The following is a 14,905-nucleotide window of genomic DNA, read 5'->3' as shown; positions in this document are numbered from 1 at the left end:
ATCTACTAAGTTGCTTGATAGCAAAATGAAATTATGAAGTTTCCTTTTTATAGAATTCTATTTTCTTCTAGGATGGGTTCTTTGTGTTCTGTTTCCTTCACTTTCATTTTTAAGGGAAGTGTATATGGCTGTTTCCTTTTGTCTTGTTTAGGAAAATAAACTTAGGGGTTTTTTTGTATGTGGGGGGAAGGGGAAGAGCATAAACTAAACAGAATGGAAATCTTCACTTTCAAATTAAATTAGGAAAAGGAATAGAGAAATAGAGGTATCCACATCTAAATCCTCCATTTTACTTATTTCTTCTCAAGTCAGCAGCTATTTCCTTTACTCTGTTTGGAAATATTAAGTGAGCATTTTCATGACTTTGTCTACTGTGACTCTTTTGTTTCTTTCCTTGCCTGTTTTCTTTTTTGGTTACTATTAGTGTTTTTCTTTGTGGTTGATGATTTAAAAAATTATGTTTTGTGCATTATTTTATGTATTGAGATGGGAAAATTCTGTGAAGCATTTGGATTCTACCACACTAGCTTGGTCCTAGTGTTTCAGGTCCAAAGTCCTGTAAAGGATCTGAAACAAATTTAGGAGTCTAGAGGAAGGTGGGTGGAGTGGAGGCCTTTAGAGGATACATTATAAATTTTAGATTTCATCTTAAGAGAAATAGGAAGCCACTGAAAATTTTAAAAAGCAGGTTCCTGAAATGATCAGATTCCTCTATTTTAAAGGTCACTCCAGCAGCTGTGTGGAGGAGAAAGAATTGGAATGGGGCATGTGTAGATGCTGGGAAACGAGTTAGGAAGCTATTGCAGTGATCCAAGTGAGATGATGGTGGCTTCTAGTCCAGCATTCTAACTGATATCCATAATGATGACCCTGAGTTATTATAAAAGGGCTTAATTGTATCACATATATCCTGTTTAAGATTGCAGGAAAATGTGTGATAAGTTTTAATAAGATTTCTCTAGAGATTTATATGGTGGGGAAAAATTATGCTCAGCCATTTGGAAAATAAGTACCCACAGTTACTCAGTGTCCAAAGAGGTCTACCTCTGAAAACATTAATTTCTATTAAAATTCTGTGATGAATCTACACATGACCTAGTGTTTTCATTTATACATGGAATATGCAGAAAGTAAAGAATATACTATTAGTATAAAATTATTTTAAACATTGACCCTAAAAATACAGAGGAAAACAGGTTTCAAGCAGGCCAGCTTTTAACATCTACTAAATGAATCTCAAACATTTGCTTGGAATCAGCACATTCTGCACACAATGACCTTCACACAAACATGGGTCTCATATTTCTGCCACTGCAAATGTAGATTTTGAAGGAATGAAAGCAATATTGTTTTACCTATGGGATATTTGGGTTTTAATCAAGAGGTTTTGCAATGACAGCTTATAATGAGGCAGCTGGTATTACCAAAAAAGCCATATGGAACTATCATAGTGCTGCTGCAAATGGTATCAATTAACTGGTTTATTTTCAAAACTTCCATTTAAGTAAGTTTGATCACAGAGGCCTTGGGAAAATAAACATAGGATTTTATTTTGGGGAGGGGTAGGATGGCAGAAACCTGACAGTAAAAATAGATTCTATTTTTAAATTAAATTAGAAAAAATATAAATGAAGGAGGATATTCACATCTAAAAGTCCACAGTGAGAGATCTAGTGAATACAAACAGCCTTTTTATTTTGTTGATTTAAGTGTGGTTTAAGTTAGTTAGACTATTTTTATATGTGAAAGGATTTAGATATATGTCTTTCCAAAATCTTCATTAATGTAAAGCAAGTTTTAAAAATTGGCAATAGTGGCAATACTTGAGGGAATAATCAATAGGAGAGATATTACAAAAGCAGATTTGAGAAATAAAAACCACTCCTTACTTTTTGGTGATTATGCCACAAACTCAATGTTTAAATCTAATTTTCATATCTTATTTTTATAAAAAGAGGTTGGATAATAGACCTCACTTGTGAAAATTCTGAGGCCTCTTAATTAAAAGCATCCACAAATGATTAAAGAACAATAGGAAATTAAAACTCTCAAGCGGAGCAACCAAATTAAAGAATGCAGTCTCCGAGAGAGCGAGTCATATAAACCTGGTGTTGCCAAACATGGCTTATCTGGCGAGATTCCTAGTGTGATAAAACTAATGAGATTTTGTTGTTGCTATTTTCTTGATGTTTACTCCTTGAGTTTTGTTTTAAAAAAAGCTTTTAAATAAGAACAATACTTTCAAAAGTTAGGTATAGAAGAATGAGGACAGGACCCACAACAGACTGGGGCTCTAGCTCCAGATCTTCCATTAATCAATTACAGCATGTAAGGCAAGTTAGAGTCCCTACCTGTTTACCATGCTATGAAGATAAACAGGAAAATGCCAATTACCTCTGCTGTCATTATCACAAATTTAGTACCAAATATCATAGGACAGTACAGTCATAGTTATGCTCACAAGCTTTAGATGAGTTAGACAGCTTGAATTTAAATCTAAGTTCTATCCCCTATAAGTAGTGTGACCCCACACAGATTGTTTAACTTCTCTAAGTTTTATTCATAGACAGGGAAATATACATATAGTATCTTGCTGTCATGTCAATCAAAAGAGCTAATGCGTTCAAAAATTTTAGTGCTGTGCCTGGTATACATTAAGGCAGGGGTTCCCAACCCAGTCCACGGCCCGTTAGGAATTGGGCCTCACAGCAGGAGGTGAGCAGTGGGTGAGTGAGTGGAGCTTCATCTGTATTTACAGCTACTCCCCATCACTTGCATCACTGCCTGAGTTCCACCTCCTGTCAGATCAGCAGTGGCCTTAGATTCTCATGCGGGTGTGAACCCTATTGTGAACCCCGCATGCAAGGGATCTAGGTTGCGTGCTTCTCGTGATTATCTAATGTGCCCTCCCACCAGCCCCTGTTTAACCATGGAAAAATTGTCTTCCATGAAACTGGTCCCTGGTGCCAAAAAGGTTGGGGACTGCTGCATTAAGGGTTCCATAGATATTGGCTGGTATTACTATTATTATTTCAATTATTATTGGTAATATTATAAAATATCTTTTTCCTATGAGATATTTTATCAAGTAAGAAATTCTGCAATTATATAACCATAATAGAAAAACTACTTTGTAACAACCAAATAAAAAACATAAAAATAATTGTAAAACTTTAGCATGGTAGCTGATGATGATTTCAACAAATGCAACTTCCTTTTTGGGAGGGTCATGGATCTTTAATAAATAACATGGACTCTGGAAAAATACACATATGTACTTAGAGACAAAATGTTTCAAGAAGTACAAAGATCTCCAAAGTCCGTTCTTGGATGTCTTTCCCAGGTTAGAAATCCAGGCTCAGGATCAGTGGATGCAAACTAGGGGCCAGAGGACTGAATTGGACTTGGAGATGTGTTTTGTTGGCCTGCAGAGGGCCTCACAATTTGTCAATGTGAATGCCTCTAATAGGGCAAACATGTTTAGTGCACCATAATTCTGCCGTACTCTGTTGTACTAATCTCAGGCAGCTTCACTTTTTTGGGCTATATGCCCCATCTCTGTAGGCCTCTGAGTTTGTGACATTGGCTTTACACACTTCAAAATCTATTCTGTGCCAGACTGGGTCATTCCACTCTTACTCTAATAATCAAGCAGGCTTTTTTGTACTAAGGAAGCTGGCAAGATAAAAACCAAACACATTTCCCTGACTCGTGTATAGTTAGGGGTCCATATGCAATCTAGGTTTTGCCATGCAGATAAGTATGAGACTTGGGAAGTGGATTACAGTAACATCAGGTGGCAGCCACAAGTACAAGGATCAGATTTTCTGCATGGAAGATGGCAAGAGCCTTGGTTCTTCTAGGCAGCTGTGGCAAAGATTCCAGATCTAGTCTAGAGGTTGGCAAATCAAGGCCCGTGGGTCAAACTGGGTCTACTACCTAATTTTATCAATAGAGTTCTATTGGATCAACAGTCATACCTGTTCATTTGCATATTTTCTACAGCTGCTTTTGCACTACAACAGTAGAGTTGAGTAGCTGTGACGCAGACCATATGGACCATGAAGCCTACAATTTTTACACTCTGGCTCTTTACAGAAAAACTTTATTGACCCTTGGGCTCATCCCTAGATATGGAGTGGTGGGTGACAACTGTAGTAAAGATTTTCTCATGATGTAGCTTCTCCTAATTACAAAATATTCCTGGTTCTGCAGCATCCAAGCTTAGTTGTCTGGTCGTTCAATAAATGCTGTAAGTTACTTAATACCATGCAATCCCCTTTTCTGCTGAAAATAGCTAGAGTGGTTTCCATTGCTGCAACTAAAAACCCTGAATGTGACACAGTAACAAAAGACAAATAATTAGGATATAAAGTTAAAAAAAATACTTACATTGTGTATCATCTCAAAGTATTTTTGACAGGCTACCTGGTAATGTGTCCCCTTTACTAAATCCAAAATCTAAAATGAATGAGGAAAAAGAGAAATAAAAATTAGAAATTAAGTTTTCTTCTAAACCACTGTAGCTCACAGTTGTTGGCCTTTTCATAATCTTCATTCCAGACAGGAAATGCAATAAATCATGTAGCATGTTGTACTTCTGCAGCCTGGACACTGTGATAATTCTGACATTATACAGTAGTGGTTTAGGTCAGCATTAAACCACAGATGACAAGAGACAGTGATCTTTCTGACCTACCAACTGTACATTTTAATAACTTTACCTCAACAACAAGATGAAAATGGATCCTGGTATGATGACTTTGACAGTTATTGTCAGAACATCATATTGCAACATCTCTCCGAAAACTGTAGATAGAAATCTAGTAATCTAATGGTTGGTGCATGAAGCAATCAAGTATACTATTTAGATATTTATTTTCCACGTTAATGGTTTATACAGATACAGCATAAAATACTGCTGTGTGCCCATCAGGAAAATTTAATGTAAACCCTTTTGGACAAGTATCTGTGAAGAGGGAATGCTTTTACCTTCAGTCAGATTTGTCCTTTTTGAAATGAAGTTATTTCTAGCAAAGCTCAGCAGAATATGAGAGTGAATAGCCTATTCTGAACACCTGTTAGGAACATCATCCTATCTTTTGTAAATACAATTTGCTTTCCAACTCTACTTCATGTAATCTCTTCAGAGCGGTGCAAACTCCCATCCTTATCAGCAGACTGCAATGCCAGTTGAAATTTGTAAAGTTTCATTGCCTCCCCCAAGCCCTCAAATAAATAAAACACATAATTGGCCTATTTATCAAATGCAGTAAAATGCTGGAATTAAGAGATAACCTCAAATGAATGGAAACATAATTCTGGAGAAATGTTAATTTCTATTCCTTTTTTATGTTTTAAAAGGCTGATCTTCCTGTCACAAAAAGAAATGAACATGGGGTCTCAAATTCTTGCTATCCTCATTATTGAATATAGCTTAATGTCATTTGACAGATACACACAAAAAAATTAGTTACAGAACAGGCATTATACAATACTGACAAGAATGTGCTTCAAAAATTGTTTTTCTCTGATTGTCTTATAGATTACATTTCTGAATTTCGTGTCACCTTTTATTAAATCATATATGAAAGACCTGTGTAAATGCCAGCCAACCACAGAGGCCAGGTTTCTGCCAGTCTGACTATCTGGCCTGTCTACTTTTCTTGAATTATTAGAGTAAAATATGAAAAATCAATTTAAAATGAGACTTTCTTCATTTTTAAATTTATTCTGCAAGTTTTCCAAGTAACGCTAACACTGAGTTCATGTTGTCTGATGCTCTTCACACAGATTTTCAAATTGTGATGAGATAAACTTGCAAATAATTACTGACAAACATCTATAATAATATATTAATATCTGAATTAGAATTTTGGAGAAGTAAAGACTTCAAACATAAATTTAAGCTTTAGATGATCCCATAAATTACCTGAAGAAGAAATGGATTCACAGAAATAAAAAAGCTCAACCATATAAAAAGTAAATATGTAACATGATATACATACATACATACAATCTAGTATGTATATGTTTGGGAAACATGCTATGAAGAAATAATAAATCATATTAATAAAAAATTTAGTTGGGTAATCCACACGTGTAAAAAACTTACTAAAGAAAACTGACATAAAAGCCACAGAATGTGAGAAAAACAGATGTATTGCAAATTTTAGGTTCAATTTTTAGGGTCCATAAAAAAATTAAATTTAAATTAATCACACTACAATCTTCCCCTGACCTGACCCCACTCGCAGAGAGGGCTCTTCCTTAACAAAAATAATTTACTTTTATTTTTGTTTTATTTTATTAGGATGAATTTTTATTTAAAATCTGCTTGCAAATCTATAAACAAGTCATTCAACTATGATCAGGATAGCTTAAAGAACTTTAATCATGTCCCAGCATATTTGAGATAGATGAAGGTTTCTATAAATAAGTAAAGGTGTGATGAGAAAAAAAGGCAATAGAGGTTTTTGAGGTAAACAAGTATTATTGGTAGATACTTTTATCTTCACTTCAGAAATGAGGAAATATATTAAAATTGGAGTATCTGTCTCCTGAGGGTGAGGGCCATTAACCGCAGAAAGAATTTTAAAAATCACATACAAATTAATAATCTTTCTTTTAAAGGAAGATAACTTACATGCTTTTAAAATTAAGGTAGAAAACATAAAACATTACTCCAAAAAATCCAACTAATGAATATATAGTTTCATTTCAGATTATGATCTATATTACAGAGATATAGGAAAAGAAAAGATGGACCAAGGAATGAAGTTTGACTTTTTCTCTGAGTAAAATGGGGAGCTAATACAATATTCTATGTGCAGGACTAAAGTGAACTGACATTTACAGAGGGTTCATTTTTGCCTGCTGTGCTGGGAACAGATTGGAAAGGAGAGAGGTAGAAACAGGGAGCTCATTACAGGAATTCAGGGAATAGATGGTAGATCCATGGACCAGGGTGGCAATATCAGTGGCGATGGTAAGTGGTCAGATTTGGAGACAGGAGCATTTCCCACTTAATGGCTATAAAATATTTCTAAAATCAGATGTTCTGCATGAAAATACTCAAGAGGAACCTGTCCTCCAATGTCTTAAAATAATGCATGAGATACCACTCAACCCCTTCCCCTGCCAACTGATTTCCTAAATAACTAGTTCTAAAACTCGGGAAAATGCGAATATGAAAAACAAACCTATCATATAAAATAAATGTAAAATACCCAAAATATCACGCAGTAGCCACTAAACAATATGATTAACAAACAGATATTTTCTGTGTAGAAACAGGAGTATGATACCTCATGTCTCTTAGAGTTAGGACTTCTTAGATGCACACTTTGCTGACATGAAAATCTTCCCAAGTGATTCTGATGTTCTAGAATTTGTATATGGACTGCAACCTGAGACTTCTTCTGCACTTTGTTTTGTTAAATTTTTCCAATATGAACATCACCACTAAGCACTGTATTAAGATATTCTGCAGGTAACTCTATTTTGATGTTGATACTAATACAACTTGCTGAGGGGGTTGGATGACTCCAAGGCAGGAAATACAAACTAAAAATCAGGTGAAGGAAATGAAGCATTAAGGTATGACCAAGACACTAAAATTCAGCTTATGATATAGGATCAAAATTACAAACCTGGCAAACACCAAAATCCAAGAACAGATGCCTAAGGTACACTGCGTGAAACAGAATTTAGGGTCAAATTTCCACAAGATACTTATGCACCATGGAGTACTATGCAGCCACAAAAAAAGAACAAAATCATGTCCTTTATGGCAACACAGATGCAGCTGAAGGCCATTATCCTAAGCAAATTAATGCAGGAAAAAAAAATCAAATACCACATGTTCTCACTTAAAGTGGGAGCTAAACATTGGTTATACATGGTCACAAAAAAGGCAACAATAAACACTGGGGATTCTAAAACTGGGGGAAGGGAGACAAGAGTTGAAAAGCTACCTATCAGGTACTATGTTCACTACTTGGGCAATGGGATCATTAGCAGCCCAAGCCTCAGCATCATGCAACATACCCATATAATAAACCTGCACATGTGCCCCCCTGAATCTAAAATAAAAATTTTTAAAAACGTATTAAGAAAAAACTGAAATACTCCACAAAGTAATGAAGATGTTGTTAGGCAAGAGTACTTTTTGCCTGTGTTTGTTTCTGCAGCATAGCTTCTGAAAGCCCAGACCTCCATCCTCACAAGCTGGTCTTGGCTCCTAAAAAGATAGCTTCCCAAGATGGCAGGCCAGGACTGCCCAGAGTGAGGGTCAGAAATAGAATAGGTCAGGAAAACACATACTACATAGAGGTGGAAACCCATCAAGAGGAAGAAATATAATGAAGAGACAAAAAACAAGAATAGGAAGAAAAATGTGGAAAGCCAGAGAAATGGGATAAGTAAATGGAGTCCATGGCTTGCTATTTATGTGGCTTGTAAGTATCAAAGTCTAACCCACAGCTCACAAAAGATGTTTCAATGAGCACTGACACTAACTCTCCAGTTTTCATGTTCCATTCTGAAAGAACCAGAGCACCTTATGAGGTCCTCTTGCATATTGCAATAATACCAAAGAACAGTTTTCCAAAGGTCAGAGGAAACCAAATCAAGGGTCCATTCTGATGCTGGGGCCAGAAGTTTCCCAAATCTGTTTTAGAAAAATATCAAACATTTTGAACAATCATATCAAAGACATTTAGAAACACAATTTTTATTTGAAGAAAAAACTCATATAAAGATCTAAGAATATTATACAAATGGCAGTATGACTTAGTTTTTAATGCCAGTATTTCCAGATAAAGTACAAAATGTCAAGTGTAACAATCCACTTACTGTTCTAATCTAGTTCGTCAGTAATCAAAAGGCTAAGAAAAAGTGAGTAGTGGACGGGCACGGTGGCTCACACCTGTAATCCCAGCACTTTGGGAGTCCAAGGCAGGCGGATCATGAGGTCAGGAGTTCAAGACCAGTCTGGCCAACATGGGGAAACCCCATGTCTACTAAAAATGCAAAAATTAGCTGGGTGTGGTGGTGCGTGTCTGTAATCCCAGCTACTCAGGAGGCTGAGGCAGGAGAATCGCTTGAACCCGGGATGTGGAGGTTACAGTGAGCCAAGATTGCAACCCTACACTCCAGCCTGGGTGACAGAGCAAGACTCCATCTCAGAAAAAAACAAAACAAAGAAAGAAAAAGTGAGTAGCAATGACATCAAACTACAATATTTTGGTAATTCGTATTTTTAAACTCTATATATTTTTAAACTTTTTTTTTTTTTTTTTTTTTTTTTTTTTGAGACAGAGTCTCACTCTGTCACCCAGGCTGGAGGGCAGCGGCGCAATCTCGGCTCACTACAACCTCCACCTCCCGGGTTCAAGTGATTCTCCTGCCTCAGCTCTCAAGCAGCCAGGATTACAGATGCGCACCATAACACCCAGCTAATTTTTGAATTTTTAATAGAGATGGGGTTTTGCCATGTTGGCCAGACTGTTCTTAAACTCCTGGCCTCAAGCAACCCACCAGCCTCGGTCTCCAAAAGTGCTAGGATTAGAGGTGTGAGCCACCATGCCTGGCCTCTCTTTATTTTTAACTATTCTCTATCAGTTGAATAAAGTCCACCAGTAAGAATATTACAGTTTTTAAAAACAGGCTGGGTGTGGTGGCTCACACCTGTAATCCCAGCACTTTGGGAGGCCAGGGCAGGTGGATTGCTTAAGTCCAGGAGTTCAAGACCAGCCTAGGCAACACAGAGAAACCCTGTCTCTAATAAAAATACAAAAAATTAACCAGGCATGGTGGCACATGCCTGTAGTCCCAGCTACTTGGGGGGCTGAGGCGGGAGGTTCGCTTGAGTCGGGGAGGTCGAGGCTGCAGTGAGTCCTGACCATGCCACTGCACTCCAGCCTGGGTGACAGAATGAGACCCTGTCTTTAAAAAAAAAAAAAAAAAGCAATGCAGTTTTCATCTTCACAAAAAGTTCATATTTGTATTTGCTGAAAGCATTAATTATACTTCATCTACTATTTCATCCTCAAGATGAATTACTGATTTTTTTTTTCTGTAAGAGAATTCTAGTAAAGCACCTCACCAAAGACATCTTTGCAGTTGAGGAGCAAAAAGCAAATAAGGTGATATTTTTCTAATTTAATCAGTGATGGAACATAGATGATACAGAACACTGGTGGGAAATGCTATAGGTATGTCTATTTATAACACATACATATACAAAAATAGAACTCTCTTCTTTTTATACACACACAACATTTTATAACTTTGAGCCACACTTCCTCCCTCTTGCTAATACTCTTAATATTTCCAGCCAGCTGCAAATTCCTCTCTCTCTTTTGCTTCAATGCCTGCCAACGAGGTTCAGATGATTACCTGGCAGCAGAATGCAGCCACCTGCCCATCTTTGGCTTTGGTGAGCAGAGCACTGTACAGCTAGGTATGCTGTACTCACCAATTAGATATGTGGCTAATCTAATTCAAGGTCATGTTTTGTCTTATTTAAAAGTGATAACAAGCTTGCTTCTTCCTAAAAAACTCAATCTTTCAAAACTAGACTGGGCTGATATTTTTCCACTCCATTTCTAACCTTCCCATATTTCAAAGGTGAAAGAAAAATGTGGTGGAGATGCCAAGTCTTGCAAATTTTTGAACATACGACTTTGCTCCCATTTCTCATACACTCAGCACAGCTTAGCCTGCTGCTGCCTTGCTGTGACCTTCACTGACTGGCAGATCAGGGCCAAGTTTCCCTCTATTGAAGATGTACTTTCATTTCTTTAAAACATTATATGTCAAGAATTTTTCTGACTCTTTATTATCTATAAACAAAGTTATCTGAGTCAATTCTACTTCCAAATGTCATTAAAATCTACCCTTTTCTCTCCATTTTTGAAGCCTTCATCATTCTCTTTTTTATTGGAAAGCTTCTTGATTTATACTTTCTTCACTCAAGATAGCTGCCACATTGCCACAAGAGTACCTTTTCTAAAAGCCAAATCTAATCCTGGCATGGCTGGGGCACAAACTTTTCATCATGATTCAAAGGCTCCTACCCTGTCCTACCTGGCCACTGGATCCTCATATTCTGGTCCAGCTTCTCCTGCAATGTGATCTTTGGAACTTTAGCTCACAAAATCCTAGTGATGATCGGGGGTTTTCTTGTCTAATAACTTGTTTAACTGGCTTTAATCCACAATTACCTAAGTTTCTTTGTAGCAGAACTTAATAGGGTAACGTTTCTCAAACTAATTTGTCCCCAGAATCCATTTTTCATAGATCTCTCAGGACTAGGGTTCCTCAAAACACACCAAACAACCTTATTTAAATTAATAGAGTCACCTCCACAAGTCTCATTCTTCTCTCTTATCCTGCCATAGTTTTATTTCACTACACTTACTTGTTTATCTGCGATATATGGTTTGGCTCTATCCTCACCCAAATCTCATCTTGAACTGTAGCTCCCATAATTCCCACGTGTCATGGGAGGGACCTGGTGGGAGATAATTGAATCATGTGGGCGGTTTCCCCCATACTGTTCGCATGGTAGTGAGTAAGTCTCACGAGATCTGATGATGGTTTTGTAGGGGAAACCCCTTTCACTTGGATCTCATTGTCTCTCTTGTCTGCTGCTATGTAAGACGTGCCTCTCACCTTCCACCATGATTGTGAGGCCTCCTATGCCACATGGAACTGTGAGTCCATTAAACCTTTTTTTCTTTATAAAGTGCCAAGTCTTGGGCATGTCTTTATCAGCAGCATGAAAACAGAGTAATACAGTCTGTCTCCCCACTGGAATATCAGCTCCATGAAGGTAGAAGTCTCACTAGTTTTAGTCATCATTATATTCCCAATGTCTTGAACAGTAAATGGAATACAATCCTCACTCAATTATTATCTGTTGATGTTGAATGAATGCTGCTCCTTTTGCCTAATCTGCCTTACATTAGGCACAGGGGAAACTCCTACTCAACTTTCAAACCCAATTAAAATGTCACTTCTTATATGAAGCATTCTCTTCTGCTCCCTCTTCAACAGAAGATCTTTCCCCTCTGGCACTCTGAATATATTTTTATAAAAGCATTTAGCATACTTTATAATAGTTAATTATTAAAGCACTTATCATACTCTATTGTAGTTAGGTACCAATAAAAGGATTGTTGAGAAGCAATTTAACCTGCTACCCAAAATACTGATTTTCTTAGTGCACATTAATACCAACATTTTGGATTAAAGGATTTAAGCTCTTAGGGAACATTAACAACTAAGTAAACTTAGAAAGCAAGGAGGGAAGGAAAGAGAAGGAAGAAGAGAGGAAAGATAATGAGGGGGAAGGGAGGACAAACAAGAAGACACATGTAAAGCCTGCTTAGAGATACGGAGAAACATGTTGTCAAACCTCAGTTCCATGGTTCAGTTACTAATTATTACTGTGCTTTGAGTATTCTATTTTTTGGCCTAATATAAAACCAAGCCACTTCAGAATCACTATGCTCTATGATCTTTATGAAAATAATGAAAGATATTTATACTGATTATATAATTACTTTAGAAGATTATACTTATTAAAAGATGTATCATGTACTGATTTAATAATTACTTTAGATTGTTTATTAAAAGATGTATCATATCTCCTGGATATGCTATTGAAAACAGAAGCTAATGTTAAAATCTGTCACTTAAGAATTAAGAAGTAAAAATAATCATATAAATTCAGAGATAGAAACTTTAACAAGAAATACATTGCAAATTGATGGTAAACACCACCAAGAAGAATGAAATGACTCAAAGCTACCCAGTCTAAAAATCTAAACTACTTGCTTTATGAAATAAATTTACTTAACTTTCTGGGTACCTTAAGCTTACTTCTTCAAAAGAAGCCGGTGCCTCTGGGAGTGTACTCTATAAAACTGATCAAGAAATAGAACTAAGTTAGAATAGTTTTATGACTATAGGCAGTTAGGTTTGACTTTACAAAAATATCCCAAGTGACAGTATCATATGTGACTGAATAAAATTCTTCCATAGGTATCAGTGATTTTTCATGTAATGAATACATAATAAATATAGAAAGATGTGTAACTATATAAACAGAGTATTAAATTTTAAGAAAGGATGTTTTCCATTTGAATGCAATTTTAATGAATATAAGTTTTAATTAATAGGCTTAGCTAACAATAACATATGTTACTTGACTTTCAAAGTGATTTTTCTTTGAACCACCTTGAACATTAAATCTTCAAGCAACCATTTATCTTCAGCCTATAAGAAAGGAAGGATATACACAGAAATCAAGTGTTAAAGCCAAAAGTACAACCATGGCCTGGTGACACCAATTCTAATGCTCAACTTCCCATCTTTTCCTTAATGCAGTTCTGAGTTTTACCAAGAACGTTACACATTTTCAACTACAACACTAAGAAAAGCAAAGCTAAGTGCAGCAACCAAACTACTGTTCTCAAAAATCAGAAGAGATACTCCTGAAGATGAAATAGATACAAAAGCTGCCCTTAAAAGCAGTTACTTTCCACAAAGTAATAGACAGACAGAATACTATCATCCACTGGTAAGTCCCCCTTACCTAAGAAAATCATAGTTTTTAGGTAGCTCAGATTTTTAGGAACATTAAGTAAACAGTCATTGAAATTTATCTTTGTCATAAAATCTTCTTGACAGTTACTTTTAAGTCTTTTAAACTGTCCCTTTTGAAAGATTTCTTCATTAAAAGGCATTTGCCAGTTTTGGATTTAATATAGTCACTAACTTCTTGAGAATTTTTGACTGTGAAAAACAGAGGTTAACCAACCTCTCAAGAAGCAATAAGAGCATACATTTTTTCATATTTCATGGTTTTAATTCACTCTTAAGTTTCTTAGAAGCACCAATTAGATTTGTTTAAAAAATCATTAATAGTTGAGTGAAAATTCTAAAACACATTTCCTTCCTCTATTAAAAAAACTAAAATGAGAAATAAAAAGAGTTTTAAAAACATTAGTGCAGAAATACATTTGTAAATAATGTATCATTTCAATCAAAATCTTGAAAAATGAATAGCCTTATGTATACTTACTTATGGGCCAACATGTAAAAGTAAGTATTGGTTGTAATAGGTCTAACACAATTTTACAGCAGAAGCAAACATTAAAATACACTGTAGAAACAGAACCTAATCACTCGAATACTCAACATTCTCAAGTGCTCGATACTTAAAGCAGTGCTCTCAACAGAAATATGACATATCTGTAATTTTAGATTTTCTATAACCACAATTAAAACAGTAAAAATAAGCAATTACTTTCAGTAATATATTTTATTCAAAGAAATATATCTAAAATATTGTCATTTCAAAATGTAATCAATGTAAAAATATTACTGAGATATTTTGTAATGCTTTTTTTCGATACCATTATTACTCTGTGAAACTTGGTGTACATTTTACTACAGCCAGTGGTATACTGGAGCTAACACAAACTGGCTGTAATCCCAGCTACTTGGGAGGCTTAGGCAGGAAAATTGCTTGAACCCAGGAGGCAGAGGTTGCAGTGAGCCGAGGTCATGCCACTGCGCTCCAGCCTGGGCGACAGAGTGAGACTCCATCTCAAAAAAGAAAGAAAGAAAAAAAAAACTGTCAACCAAGATTCATAAGGAAAAAGTAAGACATTCCCAGATAAACAAATGCTGAGGGAGTCTGTTGTTAGTAGACCTGCCCAACAAGAAATGCTAGAGTAAATCCTTCAGGTAGAAAGAAAAGATCACTACAAAGTAACTCAGAGCCATTCAAAAAGAATGAACACGAGCTAAGGTAACTATATAGGTATTAAAAATCCAGTATTATTGTGTTTTTGATTTGTAACTCTTCTTTTTTCTCAAATGATTTAAA

The 14,905-nt window shown here is 36.0% G+C and overlaps 1 protein-coding gene across 5 annotated transcripts in view; it reads right to left on the bottom strand.

Moving 5' to 3' along the window:
- The window catches only part of PRIM2 (DNA primase subunit 2), a 425,311-nt gene that overhangs the window by 10,257 nt on the left and 400,149 nt on the right, over positions 1–14,905 (bottom strand). For 4 of the 5 annotated variants that reach the window (XM_047418987.1, NM_000947.5, XM_047418993.1 and 1 more), the window contains one exon: positions 4,393–4,461. In XM_047418987.1, the coding sequence (XP_047274943.1) occupies positions 4,393–4,461 (69 nt within the window). Of the gene's footprint in view, positions 1–4,392; positions 4,462–9,681; positions 12,936–14,905 lie in introns of those variants that run through there. The other variant, XM_047418988.1, reaches the window with a different exon arrangement.

Source organism: Homo sapiens, chromosome 6 (genome assembly GCF_000001405.40).
Source record: "Homo sapiens chromosome 6, GRCh38.p14 Primary Assembly".
Lineage (NCBI taxonomy): Eukaryota > Metazoa > Chordata > Mammalia > Primates > Hominidae > Homo > Homo sapiens.
Note: the sequence above shows the minus strand (reverse complement) of the source record. Positions and strands in the feature narration are given on the sequence as shown.